This window comes from Homo sapiens, chromosome 8 (genome assembly GCF_000001405.40).
Source record: "Homo sapiens chromosome 8, GRCh38.p14 Primary Assembly".
NCBI classification, from domain to species: Eukaryota; Metazoa; Chordata; class Mammalia; order Primates; family Hominidae; genus Homo; species Homo sapiens.
Genome location: NC_000008.11, coordinates 13045803 through 13064076, shown reverse-complemented (window position 1 = coordinate 13064076; position 18274 = coordinate 13045803). Strand labels below are relative to the sequence as shown.

General features: G+C 43.5%; 1 pseudogene, besides 1 other annotated feature; it reads left to right on the top strand.

The window, feature by feature from the left end:
* Nucleotides 5149-5649: an enhancer, noted in NCBI's record as "H3K4me1 hESC enhancer chr8:12915937-12916437 (GRCh37/hg19 assembly coordinates)". NCBI's record gives its function as "activates a minimal SCP1, AML or CMV promoter by ChIP-STARR-seq in primed H9 embryonic stem cells {active_cell/tissue: H9 hESC(primed)}" and the evidence as "EXISTENCE:reporter gene assay evidence [ECO:0000049][PMID:30033119]".
* On the top strand, nucleotides 17424-17497 carry LOC124902103 (uncharacterized; annotated as a pseudogene).
* The last annotated feature ends 777 nt before the right edge of the window (nucleotides 17498-18274 follow it).

The window sequence follows — 18274 nt, the reverse complement described above, 5'->3', positions numbered from 1 at the left end:
GCTTACGTTGTGGAGCTGGGGCCCCTGTACCTCCTACGTCTATTCTAAGAAACCTCACATCCAAGGTCATATGCAGTGGCTCATGCCTCGGCCTTTGGGAGGTCAAAGTGGGTGGATCGCTGGAGCCCAGGAATTTGAGACCAAGCTAGGCAACATAGTGAGACCATGTCTCTAAATAAAATACAAAAAAAAATTAGCCAGGCTTGGTGGTGCACACCTGTGGTCCCAGATACTTGGGAGGTTGAGGTGGCAGAATGGCTTGACCCCGGGAGGTGGAGGTTGCAGTGAGCCAAGATCACACCACTGCTCTCCAACCTGGGTGACAGAGTGAGACCCTGTCTCAAAAAAGAAAAAAAAAAAAAAAAACTTCTCTTCCAAAAAGCCTTTTATTTGTAACGACTTCAGAAAACTTTCTCTCCCCTGAGTTTACTCTCATTACTGATTTTATCTTCCCTACCCTACCACCCTCCCCTCTACCCTGGGATTTTTTTGAGATGGGAGTCTCAGAATCCAAATGGAAATGCAATATAATTCCGTGGCCCCTTGTGTGTCCTGCCTGCTTCTGCCACATTACTTTTCAGACCTTGCTGTCTATCCTGCTTGCCTCCCTCCTGAGTTTTGCATGTGCTTTGGTTTAAATTGTCTCAAGTCCTTTTTGAAAATTAAGTCATCATGCCGGGCGCAGTGGCTCATGCCTGTAATCTCAACACTTTGGCAGGCCGAGGCGGGCGGATCACAAAGTGAGGAGATCGAGACCATCCTGGCTAACATGGTGAAACCCCGTCTCTACTAAAAATAGAAAAATTAGCTGGTCGTGGTGGCGGGCACCTGTGGTCCCAGCTACTCGGGAGGCTGAGGCAGGAGAATGGAATGAACCCAGGATGTGGAGCTTGCAGTGAGCCAAGATCGCACCACTGCACTCCAGCCTGGGCGACAGAGCAAGACTCCGTCTCAAAAAAAAAAAAAAAAGAAAGAAAGAAAATTAAGTCATCACAAGCAAACGTGTTTGTAATGGTCTGTTCTCATGCTGCTAATAAAGACATACCCAAGATTGGGTGATTTATAAAGGAAAGAGGTTTAATTGACTCACAGTTCAGCATAGCTGGGGAGGCCTCAGGAAACTTAACAATCATGGTAGATGGGGAAGCAAACACGTCCTTCTTCACATGACAGCAGCAAGGAGAAATGCAGAGTGAAAGGGGGCCCGGGGGAAGCCCCTTATAAACCATCAGATCTCCTGAGAACTTACTCACTACTAGAAGAACAGCATGGAGGTCCCTCCCATGACACATGGGGATTATGGAAACTGTAACACAATTCAAGAAGATATTTGGGTGGGGACACAGCCAAATCATCTCATTGTTTAAAATATGTTTAACAAAACACCTGTTTAAAATAATAAATTTCACATTATATACATGTTACAAAATCTCTCATGTACTCCATAAATTTGCACAAATAATAACTTTTTTTAATTAAAATAATCAGTTTGAGAGACTGATGATCCAAGTCATAAATTGGCCAATCCATTTTTGTCTTCTTTCCTTCCAACTATCCTTCCTCTAAACAACTTCAGTTCTCAATAACACTGATCAAGTAACAATGTTACAGTTTAAAATAGTAACTCTAAATGACTTACAACTCTCAGCACAGAGTCATGCCAGTTAGAGGGTATTGGATACATGTTTGTGAATGAACAACAGAAAATCTGCAAAGATCAGACACTCGGTTTTGCTCTAGAGCTTGAAAATTCTTTCCACATTAATTACTTGAGTTTCTACCCCATAATTGAAGTTGTTTTGCTTTTCCTTATGAGCTCCCTCTGGTTCGTACATTGTTCATGACTTCCAGTGCCTGTTTCATTCTCCTTGGAGGAAAGGTTGAACAAACTGGAGAGCAAGGGCTGGCAAACATTTTTTTTTTTAAGGGGCACAACGCATATACTTTAGACTTTGTGATCTGTATAGACTCTGCTGCAACTACAGCCGATCCTCATTATTTGTGGATTCTGTATTTCCAAATTCACCTACTCACTAAAATTTATTTGTAGCCTCAACATGAATACTCATGGTGCCTTTGCACTTATTCCTGGAAAAACATATGTCACCTGACACCCACGTTTCCAGCCAATGCTGAACAGAGCAATGTTCTATCTTTTTGTTTCAACTCTCACACTGTAAATAAGTTGCCTGTTCAGGATCTACTTAGTCCCATGTGTTTTGCACTTTTGTGCTTTTGGTTAGTGATTTTGCATTTCAGTGACTCGCAAGTATAGTGCTGAGGTGCTGCCTAAAGTTCCTAAGCACAAGAAGCTGTGAGGTGCGTCAAGGAGAAAACCCATGTGTTGGATGAGCTTCGTTCAGGCCTGAGTTCTAGTGCTGTTTCCGTGAGTTCCATGTTCACAAGCCAGCATTATATATTAAACAGAGTCCCTTTAAACAGAAGCACATATAAAATATAATTACTTATTGATCAGTAGACAAAAATGTGACCGGAGGCCTACAGCAAACTAACCCTATATTTCCCCTAGGAGCAATGGTTCAGTATTCACTAATTCAGTATTAATGGTAACTTTATGTAACATAAATGTTGCCAATAACAAGAATAGATTGTACTCAGTTCCCCAGATGCCGTGCCAAAGCAGCCACAGACAATATGCAAACAATGAGCCTATGTTCCAATAAAATGTTATTTATGGACTCTCAAACTTGAAATTCATATAATTTGTATAAGTAACAAAAGACTGTGCTTCTTTTGAGCTTTCCCCCAACCATTTAAAAATATAAAACTAGTTTAAACCCACTGGCCATACACGAACTTGTGATGGGCTGGATTTGACCCATGGGCTTCTGTTTGTCTGCTCCTGCTGTAAAACCTTGTTTTCAATGAATCTCACTGCTTTGGAGCCAGATCATGGTCAATTTGGGAGGCCCATAATCTTATTCCCCTCTGATATGGTTTGGCTCTGCCTCCCCACCTAAATCTCATCACAAAGTGTAATCCCCATGTGTTGAGTGAGGTGATTGGATCATGAGTGCGGTTTTCCCCATGCTGTTCTCATGACAGTGAGTGAATTCTCATGAGATCTGATGGTTTTATTTTATTTTATTTTATTTTATTTTTTGAGATGGAGTCTTGCTCTGCTGCCCAGGCTGGAGTGCAGTGGTGCAATCTCAGCTCACTGCAACCTCCACCTCCCAGGTTCACGCCACTCTCCTGCCCCAGCCTCCCGAGTAGCTGGGACTACAGGCACCCACCATCACGCCTGGCTAATTTCTTATATCTTTAGTAGAGATGGGGTTTCACCGTGTTAGCCGGGATGGTCTCGATCTGCTGACCTTGTGATCCACTCGCCTCGGCCTCCCAAAGTGCTGGGATTACAGGCGTGAGCCACCGCACCCAGTGATCTGATGGTTTTATAAGGGGCTCTTCCCTTTCTCTCACCTGCCACCATGTGAGATGTGACTGCTTCGCCTTCTGCCATGATTGTAAGTTTCCTGAGGCCTATCTAGTAGTGCGGAACTGTTAGTTAATTAAACCTCTTTCTCTTATAAATTACCCAGTCTTGAGTATTTCTTCATAGCAGTGTGAAAACAGATTAATACACCCTGGAAGTCTCTGCCACCTCAGTGTCATCACTCTGATGGGGCCTAAGAACATTCATGATGTTTGGGTCTGTTTAACAGAAGGAAAGACTACTGAAGTTGGACTCCAGATCGCTGGTTTTGAAAGCCAGGGATCTCATTCTGTCACCCAGGCTGGAGTGCAGTGACACGATCATAGCTCACTACAGCCTCAAACTCCTGGGCTCAAGGGATCAATCCTCCCACCTCAGCTTTCTGAGTAGCTGCGACTACATGCGCACCTAATTTTTTTAAGTTTAAACAAACTGATCACACCTGGCTAATCTGTGTAAACTTTTTTTTTTTTTTTTTTTTTTGGTAGAGACAGGCTCTCCCTATGTTGCCTAGGCTGGTCTTGAATCGGCCACAAGTGATCCTCCCACCTCAGCGTTCCAAAGTGCTGGGATTACAGGTGTGAGGCACCTTGCAGGGCCAGGTATCACTTCTTAAATGTTTGACTTGAGGCAACTTTACTGAGCCTCCTACAGAAGGCAGAGAAAGACACCTGTGAATCTCCCAGGGCCATAATGCAGGTTAAACCACACAGCAAGAGTAGGCTTTGCAGATGGGACTGCTGATTGCGCCTTCGCCAGTCCCACCCCTTTGCAGTTAAGAAATTTGACCCCTGAGGTTCCTTGGAAATCATCCAAGTCATGCGGAAAGCAAGCGGATACCGACAAATCTCATCCTTTTCTACTCTTCTCAACATTTTCAGGGGTCAGGGATACGATGCAATGTCATCAAAAAATGAGCAGGAAGATTTTTCCCTAAAAACTGTAGCCTTCATTTCCATCCGCTCACAACATGCTGTTTAGAGCACCAGGGAGGCGTCCTCAGATTGTCCCCACTCTTGTTTAGGCTCATGTCAGTCAGATAATTCTCAGGCTTGGGCAGAAACCTGCTGGTGAGAAACTTCTCAAGTGTCACTGCTTACAAAAGAGGGAAGAAAACAGAAAAGTCTGTTTATTTTTCTGACCTAAAAGATAACATTGGTTTGCCCTTTCCTTTTGTTTAAGGTTAGATCGGGAGCATTCCTTGAAAGTTGCCCAAGAAGAGATTGTCTCAGCCATTTTTTCCTGGCAATTTGTGTTTTCATTCAAAATGGATTACTTGCGGTAATAACGAGGATTCATATTATAAGAAACAACGCTAATTTCCTCATCTGTAAAATTGAAACAGTGGCTCAGATCCCTGCCTATCCGATCACTTAAAGTGATCTGTAAACTATGTAGGAATTTTTTTTTTTTTTTTTTTTTTTTTTTTTTGAGACGGAGTCTCGCTCTGTCGCCCAGGCTGGAGTGCAGTGGCGTGATCTCGGCTCACTGCAAGCTCCGCCTCCTAGGTTCATGCCATTCTCCTGCCTCAGCCTCCCGAGTAGCTGGGAGTACAGGCGCCTGCCACCATGCCTGGCTAATTTTTTGTGTTTTTTAGTAGAGACGGGGTTTCACCATGTTAGCCAGGATGGTCTCGATCTCCTGACCCAGTGATCCACCTGCCTCAACCTCCCAAAGTGCTGGGATTACAGGCGTGAGCCACCGCGCCTGGCCTATGCCCAGCTAAGATTTTAAATTTTTGCAGAGACGGGGTCTCACTATGTTGCCCAGGCTAGAGTACAGTGGTGCAGTCATAGCTCACTGCAGCCTCGAACTCCTGAGCTCAAGCAATCTGCCTGCCTCCGTCTCCCAAAATACTGGGACTACAGGCATGAGCCACCAAGCCCAGCCTGAGTATTGCCATGTTATTGGATTACAGAAACCATGGGTGACAAAATTAACTCATCACCTCTATCCCAAGGAATTCATGGCACTTTTCAGACATGGTATCATTAATTTTTTTTTGCAGAGTGAAATGCAATATTCATAAAGCCATAGCCTCAGACCTGAGAGCTGGAGGGGACCTCAGAGGGCTCATCCAAATCCTTTGTCTATGATGGGGAACCCGAGGCTCTTAGGAGCCTGTGGGGCGCTGGAGGCGGGGGACTCGCGCTGCCCAGTGGCTGGGCCAATCCAGCCCAGCAGGGGCACATCCCAGGACAGCAAGGGGCATCGTGAGTGGGCAGTCACGTAGCCGCGAGTCTCCACAAGCCAGGCCAGGTCGTTCTGCTCCACCTGAGGACTGCATGACTCCCGAGGTCAGCATTTTATTACCTAGGTGTGACCCAGGTTTCTCATAACCTTAGTTGCAACTTTATAGAAATTGATAGAAAATGGGAATCTGGCACACTTGTATGCGTTACACTTTTCAAAGACAAAGAAATGTCACAGTGAGAGGTAACAGGGTGCCCAGAGAGCATAGTTTCTCTCTTGTTTTGCAGATTAGAAAATAGATTTGGCAGGCCGGGTGCGGTGGCTCACGCCTGTAATCCCAGCACTTTGGGAGGCCGAGGCGGGTGGATCACAATGTCAGGAGATCGAGACCATCCTGGCTAACATGGAGAAACCCTGTCTCTACTAAAAATAGAAAAATTAGCTGGGCGTGGTGGTGGGCGCCTGTAATCCCAGCTACTCAGGAAGCTGAGGCAGGAGAATTGCGTGAACCCGGGAGGCGGAGCTTGCAGTGAGCCGAGATCGCGCCACTGCACTCCAGCCTGGGCGACAGAGCGAGACTGCGTCTCAAAAAAAAAAAAAAAAAAAAAAAAAAAAAAAAAAGAAAGAAAAGAAAAAGAAAGTAGATTTGGCCAAAATCCAATGGTCTAGGAGTCCTCCACGAGCTTCCCTGCCACATGCCCCTCCCTGCCCTCTCCTTTTACCCCTCCACCCAGGTTGCAGGTTCTGTACCCTTGCTTCTGCAGTTCTACATTTTTTGTTTGTTTTGAGACAGCGTCTCACTCTGTTGCCCAGGTTGGAGTGCAGTGGCACGATCATGGCTCACTACAACCTCGAACTCCTGGGCTCAAATGATCCTCCCACCTCAGCCTCACTTCCACTATTTTCATCTTAGTGGGTTTTTTAGGACTTTAAACAACCCATCAAAAGCGTCAGAGTTGGAAAGCTGACGTCACCTGTTCTGCTAACTGAGTGTGTGTTTTTAGTGAATTGCTTTACCTCTTGGGACACAGGGATTGCAACAGGAGCTGATCTCAGGTGTGCTGCCGGGAAGGGTGACTTGCTATCATGTGGAAGGCAGCAGTGTTCTCTCTTGCCGAGCCTTGACAAGGTTTGAGCCCTCCCCAAAGCCCAAGGTTGGTTTCTATACCCACTGCAATTCAATCTTTTCCAGAAAACCTACACACTTTTACAGGTTGTAAAAGGGCCCTGCCCTCCTGCGAGGAGAAAGGAGAAGATTCCACTTGGTTATTATTATTATTATTAATTATTATTATTATTTTGAGACAGGTTCTTGCTCTGTTACCCAGGCTGGAGTTTAGGGTGCAATCATGGTTCACTGCAGCCCTGACCTCCTTGGCATCAAGTGACCCTCCCACTTCAATCTCACTAGCTGGGATTATGGACACCAGCCACGACACCAGACTAATTTTGTTTGTTTATTTTATAGAGACAAGGTCTCTCTATGTTGCCCAGGCTGGTCTCAAACTGCTGGTTTCAAATCATCCCCCCATCTCAGCCTCCCAAAGTGCTGGCCTTGGTCATTCTATAAGGCAGCAGCTTTCATTGCCAGCAGAGATGGTTTTCAAAATTCCAGCCATTGAGCACAGCCTTCCAAGGAAGGACCCATCAGAAGCACAGTGTGTAAGCCAGCTCATGCTGGGCTGCCCTGTCTCAAACAGGGGTGTGCTGGAATGGAGATTAGAGCCCAATTTAATCTTCTTGTGCACCTTGCCATCATCAGGTGGCCTGGCAGTGATGAAGCCCTAGGGGACAGTTTGATTGTGACAGGTTGAAATTTAATGTGAATGTTACAGGTTAAAATTAAGGCTCTTCCAGGAGTTTGAGGCTGCAGTGAGCTATGATCCCACCACTGCATTCCAGCCTGGATGACAGAGACAGAGCCTCTCTCAAAAAAAAAAAAAAAAAAAAGAATGAAAAAAAAAGCTAAAACTCTTTCAGATGCCCCTCAACACTCAACACTATTTACAATCTGGCCACAACCGTTGCCCACCCTCCACCCCAGCCCATGATCCACACACATCAAAATGTGCCCCTGTAGGGTTACTGCCTCTCTCCTGTTCCCAGATTGACCCATCAGGGCTCTGCTCAGATGTCACCTCCTCTGTCATTGCTTCCTCGATGCTTTCTCCAGCGCCTTGTGCATATCTGGAATATAGCATTATTTACTCTGTTGTCTGAGTTCGGTTTCCCCCAGTGGATCATGAATTCCTTCAAAACAGGAACTGGGTCCTACTGTTGGAATGTTTAAGGGATGCTTGAAGAATACTTGAGTGCTGGGGGATGGGGATGGAGTCGAAAGAGGAAGCCTGACCCTCATGGAGCTGACGTCCTGGAGAGGAGGAAGACAGACAGTAAACACGATAAACAAGAAGTGGGGGTAGCTTATTATAGAATGATCAGTGCTGTGGAGAACAAGCAGAGATGGGGACAGCGAGTGTGTGTTGGGTGGGAGGAGAGCATTTCAGTTGCAAAGGGTGGTCAGGGAAGGCCACCCATCATGACCATGGGTATCAGCCTGTAGGTAGCAAGTGGGAGAGCAGTGTGGCTATTTGGGGGCAGGGGCATCGCAAGGTAGATTATAAAAAGTGGTCAGATTCTGGACGTATTTGACCTAGCATTTCCCATCTAGGAATTGATTCTAAGGAAATGGTTGCACAGTTGGCAAAGCTGTAGCTCGCAGCAATGTTAATTACAGCTTCTTCATGATATTAGCTTTGTAGAAAATGTAAATTTACAAAAATTGCAATCTCATTGAATAAGTTATGCAATAATGAAATAGAACATTATGTATCCACTAAAATAATAATGTAGAAATATGTTCATTGATGTGAAAAGGTGTTCACTTGATATTATTAGATGAAGCAAAATGAAAATATAAAATATTTTTAATTTTATTTTTAATTGTAAAATACACATAATATCAAATTTACCATCTTAATCATTTTTTTTTTTTTGGACGGAGGCTTGCTCTGTTGCGCAGGCTGGAGTGCAGTGGCACTACCTCGGCTCACTGCAAGCTCTCCCTCTCGGGTTCACGCCATTCTCCTGCCTCAGCCTCCCGAGTAGCTGGGACTATAGGCAACCGCCACCACGACCGGCTAACTTTTTGTATTTTTTAGTAGGGACGGGTTTTCACTGTGTTAGCCAGGATGGTCTCGATCTCCTGACCTCATGATCCACCTGCCTCGGCCTCCCAAACTGCTGGGATTACAGGCGTGAGCCACTGCACTGGGCCCATCTTAATCATTTTTAAGGGCAAAGTTCAGTAGTGTTAGGTACATTCAGACTGTTGAGCAACAAGTCTCTAGAACTCTTTTCATCTTGCAAAACTAACTCCCCATTTCTTCCTCCCGAATTATCTGGGGAACACTATTCTGCTTTTGTCTCTGTAAGTTACTCTACACTAGCTATCTCATATAAAGAGGATTATGCCATATTTGCCTTTTTGTGACTAGCACATTTTACTTAGCATAATGTCCTCAAGGTTCATTCGTGTTGTATCATGTGTCTGAAGCTCCTTCCTTTTTAAGACTGAATCATATTCCATTGTATGGATATACCACATTGTGTTTATCCATTCATCCATTAATGGACATTCAGGTTGTTTCTTCCTTCTAGCCACTGTGAATAATATTTCTATGAACAGGGGTGTACAAATATCTATTTGAGACTCTTGTTTCAGTTTCTTTGGATATATACCCCAAAGTGGAATTGCTGGATGGTATGTTAATTCTGTTTTTAATATTTTTTTTAAGACGTAGTCTTGCTCTATCACCAGGCTGGAGTGTAGTGGCACAATCGCGGCTCACTGCAACCTCTGTCTTCCTGGATTCAAGCGATTCTCCTGCCTCAGCTGCCCGAGTAACTGGGACTACAGGTGCACGCCATCACGCCAAGCTAATTTTTGTATTTTTAGTAAAGACAGGGTTTCACCATGTTGGCCAGGATGGTCTCGATCTCTTGACCTCATGATCCACCCGCCTCAGCCTCCCAAAGTGCTGGGATTACAGGCGTGAGCCACCATGCACGGCCTATCTTTAATTTTTTGAGTAACCATCAACCTGTTTTCTAGAAAGTCTGCATTGTTTTACATTGCTATCAATAGTGCACAAGGGGCTGGGTGTGGTGGCTCACACCTGTAATCCCAGCACTTTGGGAGGCTGAGGTGGGTGGATCACGAGGTCAGGAGATCGAGACCATCCTGGCTAACATGGTGAAACCCCATCTCTACTAAAACAATACAAAAAATTAGCCGGCTGTGGTGGCAGGTGCCTGTAGTCCCAGCTACACGGGAGGCTGAGGCAGGAGAATGGCTCAAACCCGAGAGGCGGAGCTTGCAGTGAGCCGAGATAGCGCCACTGCACTCCAGCCTTGGGTGACAGAGCAAGACTCTGTCTCAAAAAAAAAAAAAAAAAAAGTGTACAAGGGTTCCTGTTTCTCCCCATCATCACCAACAATTGTTATTTTCCGGTTTTTGATAGTAGCCGTCCTAATGGGTGTGAGGTAGTATCCCATTGTAGGTTTGATTTGCTAGAAATGCATTTTTATTGTAGAAATTATTGGCATTCAGTATACGTGGACTGGCTAAAATATTTTATAGAGACATTCCCGAAGATAAAAATAATATTCAAAGATTCCTTTAAAAGTAAGCAAAGGACACAGAGACATTCCTCCAAAGAAGATATTCAAATAGGTGATAAACACAAGAAAAGACGCTTAACATAACTAATTATTAGGTAATGCAAATCAAAACCACAATGAGATGCAACTTCACACTCATTAGGATGGCCATTCTAAAAAACTAAAAAAAAAAAAAAGAAACAAGTATTAGTGAGGATGTGGAGAAATCAGAACCCTTGTGTACTGCTGATGGTAATGTAAAGTGTTGCAGCCATTGTGGAAAACAGTATGGTGGTTTCTCAAAAAATTAAACATAGAGTTACCATATAATCCAGCAGTTGTACTTCTGGTCATATACTCCAAAGAACTGAAAGCAGAGACTCCAACAGATATTTGTATACTCATATTTATAATGTCTTTATTCTCAGTAACCAAACAACCCAATTGAATTGAATTGAATTGAATTGAATTGAATTGAATTGAATTGAATTGAATTATTCTAAATTTAAAACAACTCAAGTGTCCACTGACAGATGAATGAACAAAAAAAGTGGTATGTACATACAATGATATATTATTGAGGCTTAGAAATGAGTGAAATTCGGACACATGCAGCAACATAGATGAATCTTGAAGGCATTACGTTAAATGAAATATGCAGGATGCAAAATGACAGATATTGTATGATTTTTCTTATATGAGCTACCTAGTAGTCAAATTCATAGAGTCAGAAAGTAGAATGGTCGTTGCCAAAGCTAAGGGAAAGGGAGGATAGAGAGTTACTGTTTAATGATTTCAGAGTTGGTTTGGCTTGGGTTGTTGAAAAAGTTCTGGAGGTAGATTGTGGTGATGGTTGCACAACAATGGAAATGTACTTAATGTCACTGAACTTTATGGTTAAAATGTTACATTATACGTTATGCATATTTTACCACTATTTTAAGAAAATCTGTTTAAAAAAGGAACCTCTTCAACTCATCTGAGGAGACCAGAAGTTGCAGTGTCTCTCATATTCTCAGGACTTAAATTTTGCCCTTTGACTGTCAGAGTTAGAATAATAAAGTCTAATCTCTACATTGTTCAGCTGAAGAAATAGTGTCTCAGAAATATGTCTGTCTTGGGATATCAAATCACATCAATTTCTTGAGCACTTAATTATGTGTGATGGTTAATTTTATGTGTCAACGTGGCCAGGTTATAGCACCCAGTAGTTTGGTCAAACATCAGTCTAGATGTTGCTGTAAAGATATTTTAAAAGATATGATTAACATATAAGCCAGTAGGCTTTGAATAAAACAGATTACCCTTTATAATCTGTGTGGGACTCGTTCAATCATTTGAGGGCTGTAAGAAAAATAACTGAGCTCCCCTAAAGAGGAAGGCATTCTGCCTCCAGGCTGCATTCAGACTCAAGACTGCGATAGCGGCTTCTTCTGGAATTTCCATTCTGCTGGCCTGCCTTGCAGATTTTGGACTTGCCAACCTCCACAATCGCATGAGCAGATTCTTCCGAATAAATCTCTTTCATTAGCTCTCTTTATGTGGGGAGGCTTCACTAATCACCGTAGAAAGGGCCACGTGGGAAGTACAAGTGATTCAGACCTGGCCTTCAGGCCTTTTGACGGGTTCAACGTCCACTTACCAGACTCTAAACCAGAGCAATTGTTTGGTTCACAGCCATGTAATTCATAACATTGCTTGGGAATGAGCGGTTTTCCTGACACATTCGGCTTCTGGTGTGACAATTTCAAAGCACCATAAGCCAAAACCAAAATTAAACCCTTTGAATTTACTATTCTTCCCACTGTGCCACACTGCTCCTCTTAGGAAATAGCCTCACCAAACTTAGGCAGTTTATTGCTGACACGTCCCATCTGTTGTCCTCACAGTGTGAATGCCATGTGTTCGTCAAGTTCACTTGGATTTCTCCCACACACTCACACTCTGTATTCTGGGAATTAAGCTGAGGAAAGTATCCTCTTCCTCACCAGCAACTGCTACAGTCAGCTTCCTTTAGTAAACAATGTCGGTGCAGTGAATGTTCTCAGTAAAGCCCTCTGGATGCGTTCTTTGCCTGTGTAGAGCCAAAGAAAAATAGCTGAAATGTGCAATCTCAGCATTTTTCTGTCTAATATTATCAGTGCTTAGTCTCTTCCATGGAGATCCTGTGTGGATGGCTACGAAACATGATAAATTTTTTGTCTTAAAAAATGAGCTGATATTACATAATGGAAATTATATATTGGTTAGGATTTCAGCTCTTATTCCCTTCTCCATGAGCTCCATTTTAAGAAACCAAACAAAATAAAAAGGAAACATTGAAGGAAAATATTTGAACAATTAAGGTTTGGGACACACACACAACTTTCTTTGAGTTCACTTCATGTTGCCTTTAAACAAGAACAGCTTTTTGATTACATCTTCCTGATTGCAGTCCTCTTTCCCTCTTCCATCATGACCACTAGCTCCTGGTTCAGCCATGGGTGATGGAGCCAGTGGCTTAACAGGGTTCTCTAAGGATAAAAGGAGATGCTCAAACTACGGGGTTGAGAAGACTCGATGAGCCAAAAAGCAAGCTCTGTTTCAAGTAGCTAAGAGGTGAATCACATTTGCAGAAAGCAAAGAGAACTGGAAGTAGGAATTGAAAACCTGGGACACAAAGCTAGAATTTAGGATGAATCAGATAAAGCCACCAGCTAGAATGCACCCTCGTTTTCCTAGCTTTACTTTGTGGTACGTGCGTTTACTGTAGAGTAGAGGGCTTTTTGAAGAATGAACAAAGGAAAACTATTCTGCTTTCCTTATCTTCTCTGTAATTTCCTGCTAGTGCCCCCACCCTTAGCTACCACCCGCCACCATACTAATTCAATCAGCAGACTGGCAAGGCTGATTCCTCATGCATTATTTAGAGCGCATGCTGGTGGTGTTAGAACTAGGTTAGGCAGCTGTGAAAACCTAGAGGCTCTCTTGCGATTCTGATTTGCATTTTTCTGATTCAACTGTGTTGTTCCCTTGTGATATTCCCCAGAGTCCAAAGTGAAGGCTTGAGATGATTCCTGTAATTTCTTTTTTAAGGTGAAAAATGTTCCTGTGATAGAGATGCAGGACCAACTGTTAAAGTTTATGAGAGAATCTGTTTTTAGGAGACAAAATGTATCCAAGATACATGTAAAAGTTGAAGAGCGAAGACAAAACAACAATGATGAAGGTGTGGAAGACAGGACAAAAAGATATTGAAGCTGGGAAAAATATGATGAAGCCCTTCAGGCTTTTATTCCCAAGATACTTGTGATGAGATCCCACAGCTGCTATGCGGGGATTATAAATTTGGCTTTAAACACTTTAGAAGCCAGGCTAAAATGGGACCATATAATAAATTATGTGACTGGGGGAGGGGTGGTTAGAAGAGAAGTACTATTGCTCTTGAAATAGAGATTAGAGAAAAATCCATTCTCCCACCACCCTTATCACCCACTCACAACTCTCTCTGGGGACAACATGAAGACCACAGAGGCTGACTGTAGCGGCTTTTGCCTATAATCTCAGGACTTTGGGAGGCTGATGCAGGAGGATTGCTTGAGTCCCAACCTGGACACCAGAGCCAAATTATCCAGGGGTGGTGGTACATGCCTGTAGTCCCAGCTATTTGGGAGGCTGAGGCAGGAGGATCACTTGAGCCCAGGAGGTTGAGATGTAGTGAGCTGTGGTCATGCCACTGCACTCCAACCTGGGTCACAGAGTGAGCCCGTCTCTAAAAATAAAAATTAAAACAAACAAACAAACAAACAAATAACACTACTGTGCAGTAGTCTTTCTAAGCAAATTTTCTAATGTTCTTGCAACATAAGCATCAACCTTCTCCAAAGGCTGGGACTGTAGGGATACGAGACGAAACAATGGGCTTGCCTTCAAGAATTTTCTGATTTAATGAGAAGGGGGAGTATGTCATTAACTAATTGATGGAGGGGATTGAATGGATGCCTTTGGGTGCGCATTTCTGTAGCAGGGAGATTTTTCCACGTTTGAAGTAGGGTGCACATGATCTGTCTACAGTGCAGTTCTGCACAGAGACCTGCAGCCACTCCAGGACATGTCTTCTGGAAAACACGAAGTGGCTAAGAGAGAAATGACCTGTGAAAGGGATCAAATGTGCCTCTGTTGGGGTTACAATAATTCATACTTATGAGAAAAGGGTGAAATCCATGAAACCAGATCGTGGCTCCTCAGTGAAGCATGGAGAAGAGCATTAACTCCCAGAGAAAAGATCACAGGGAAAGGCGGAGTGAAAGGCTCATAGCCCATGTCCCAGGACTGGAGAGAGCAGCTGCATCACAGAAAAACACCAGAAGCTTGCCCGGGAGATGCCGCCCTACTGCAGAAGACACATTCCTTCAGCATGAACAACAGCAGCATCTTGCTGGGATAAAGGAGAGAGGAAAACAAGGAAGGAATTAATTCCAGGGAAACTTTCTCGAGTGAGTAGCATCATATTTATTTCCTCAATGGCAAAGTGCTTTTCAAATTAGCCACCACACCTGGCTAATTTTTCTTTTTTTTTTTTTTGAGATGGAGTCTCTCTGTCGCCCAGGCTGGAGTGCAGTGGCGCAATCTCGGCTCACTGCAAGCTCCGCCTCCCGGATTCACGCCATTCTCCTGCCTCAGCCTCCCGAGTAGCTAGGATTACAGGCGCCCGCCACCACACCCAGCTAATTTTTTGTATTTTTAGTAGAGATGGGGTTTCACCTTGTTAGCCAGGATGGTCTGGATCTCCTGACCTCGTGATCCGCCCTCCTCGGCCTCCCAAACTGCTGGGATTACAGGTGTGAGCCACCACGCCTGGCCCACACCTGGCTAATTTTTATTTATTTTATTTTATTTTTTGATATGAAGTCTCGCTCTGTCACCCAGGCTGGAGTACAGTGGCGCAGTCTCACCTCACTGCAACCTCCACCTCCTAGATTCAAGCAATTCTCCTGCATCAGCCTCCTGAGTAGCTGAGACTACAGGTATGTGCCACCAGGCTTGGCTAATTTTTATTTTTATTTTTATTTATTTTTTTTAGAGACAGGGTTTCATTCACCATGTTGACCAAGCTGGTCCTGACTCCTGACCTCAAGTGATCTGCCCACCTCGGCCTCCCAAAGTGCTGGGATTACAGGCGTGAGCCACTGCGCCTGGCCTTATCTGGCTAATTTAAAAAATGTTTTTAATAGAGATGGGGTCTCACTATGTTTCCCAGGCTGGTCTCAAACTCCTGGCCTTAAGCGGTCTTCCTGTCTTGGTCTCCCAAAGTGCTGGGATTACAGGCATGAGCCACCATGCCCAGCCTATTTTTTACTGTCTTATGTCTGGTTTTGCCCTAGATACCCAGGTTAGGTGAATACTGGTACAGATGAAAAATATTGGTATGTCCTAGAAGCAGCTCTGGAATGCCCCAAAGCAGGAATAATAGCCAGCTCCTGAGTGTCAGTGAAGTTGGGTATTTCCATCAGGATAATGGAAACTTCACATTACAAACAACCCAGTTCCATCCTTGCCCCCTTCTGCCACCATCCTCAGGCAGAACAAGTAGCAGCTAGGAGCATCAGCATCCCACGTTGGCCCCCAGCAGGACAGAGTGGCTTCTTGTCCTGGACTCAGCTTTTCTTAAGTGATTTCCTCCCAGTAACTTGCTCTTCCCCCTGGGAGACTGGCCAGGCTTCATTCTACCCAGAGCCCTTTCTTTTTTCTTTTCTTTTCTTTTTTTTTGAGATGGAATCTCTCACACTGTCTCCCAGGCTGGAGTGCAGTGACACTATCTCGGCTCAGTGCAACATCTGCCTCTTGGGTTCAAGCGATTCTTCTGCCTCAGCCTCCTGAGTAGCTGGGATTGCAGGCACCTACCACCACGCCTGGCTAATTTTTGTATTTTTAGTAGAGACAGGATTTCACCATGTTGGCCAGGCTGGCCTCAAACTCCTGACCTCAAGTGATTCGCCCGCCTCAGCCTCCCAAAGTGCTGGGATTACAGGTATGAGCCACTGCCCCTGGCCAGGAGCACCCCTTTCAAATACAAGCAACCTTGCTTTTTGTCCTCTTCCTCTTCCCCAGCTTTCCAGGGCTATTGCAATTCTATGGTAGACAGATTCTCACTGGAATCTTCAGTCATCCCACTTATGATGTACTGTTATGCACGGCCGGATACACAAACGTGACACCTATTGGGTTGGGGCCGCCTGGCTACTGGCTCATCCCGTCATGCTCAGTGGCATCGGTTTGTTTGTATGGTTATCACAGCACTTAACATTGTTGGAAGTTACCAATTACCTTGTATGTTAATTCACTTACAAGTTTACTGTCTATTTTCTCCCTCTAGAATAGAAAGTCCACAAGACCAGTGACCGTGCTTATCTCGTTGACTTCTGTATTTTCAATGCTTTGAACAGTCTTTGGCACATATTAGGTACTCAATAAATTTTTTTGTTTTTGTGAATAGAGGATATAGTACATTCTATTTTATTTTTTGTTCATTTATTTATTTTTGAGACAAGATCTCAGTCTGTCACCTAGACTGGAATGCAGTGGCGCATTCATGGCTCACTGCAGCCTCCATCTCCCGGACTCAGGTGATCCTCCCATCTCACCCACCAGAGTAGCTGGGATTACAGTCTCACACTACCATGCCCGGTTAATTCTCATTTTTGTTTCTATTTTGTAGAGACAGGGCTTGCTATGTTTCCCAGGCTGGTCTCTAACTCCTGAGCTCATGCAATCCTCCCACCTCTGCCTTCCAAAGTGCTCGGATTATAGGCGTGAGCCACCACACCCTGCCAGGATATAGTAAATTTTAAATCAGAGAACTTAAAGAAATACAACCCTACTGAATGCTGCAGTAGGGGAACTTAGAGTGGACAGAGGCCACCAGGAGCTGCAGAGCTGATGAAACAGACGTGCAAAGGTATAAAAAGGAGCTGAGAGCAGTGGTTCTCAAAGTGTGCCTCGGACGACTGTGGGGTGGTATCCCTGAGGCCATTCCAGGGAGTTTGTAAGGTCAAAACTACTTTTATAATAATATTAGGATACTATTTGCCTTTTTCACTATCTTTACATTTCCACTGATGGCACAAAAGCAAAGACTGTACTTTCAGGGGTCATTTCTGTAGTTCATTAATATAGTTTTCTGAGCATGTAGAGCACCAAAAAAATAAAAACATATATATTTTACAAAGCAAAAAGGGGTAAAACTGCTGTCATTTTAGCGTGGCACCAAATTATTACCACATACTTATAGTAAAATGAATGGCAGTTTCACTTACGAATGTCCTTGATACACCAGTACTAATTAATTTCATTAAGCCTTGACCTTTATGTTCATACCCATTTAATATTGTGTGTGACCACACGGGAAAGGCACAAAAGCAGTTCTGCTGAACAGTGAAGTTTGTATATTAGTTTTCTTGAGAAAAAAAACACTTGGTAATTGAACTGTGAGTTAACCTAAACTTTTTTTTTTTTTCATGGAACACTGCTTTTACTTTAAATTAAGTAAGACAAACTATGGTTATTTTAGACTTAAATATTTCATAAATGCTTCCTCAAAAATGAATAAAGTGAGATTGTCACCTCAAGTAAAATAACAGAGTATTTGGTGCCAAAGGTAAAATTTGAACTAAGAGAAAATAAGAACTATAGAAAACTTAGGTCTATCCCAGTGAGCTTGACAGCTTCCTTATAGAGACTGTTCTGATGAGATTGGTGGTAATATTGTTAAAAATATTTTAATGTTGTATAATAAAATATACTGAAATTGGAAGATCTGTATAACTCAGTGAACCAATATCTTCCAAATGTTACAAAATCATGCAGATATAAAATGTATTCAAAGTGCAAAATAAGTCAATGTATTTCCTATAACAGAGGAAAAACTCCATTGTTAAGGTTGCAGAAAACTCCATTGTTAAGGTTGCAGATTCCATCCTGAAA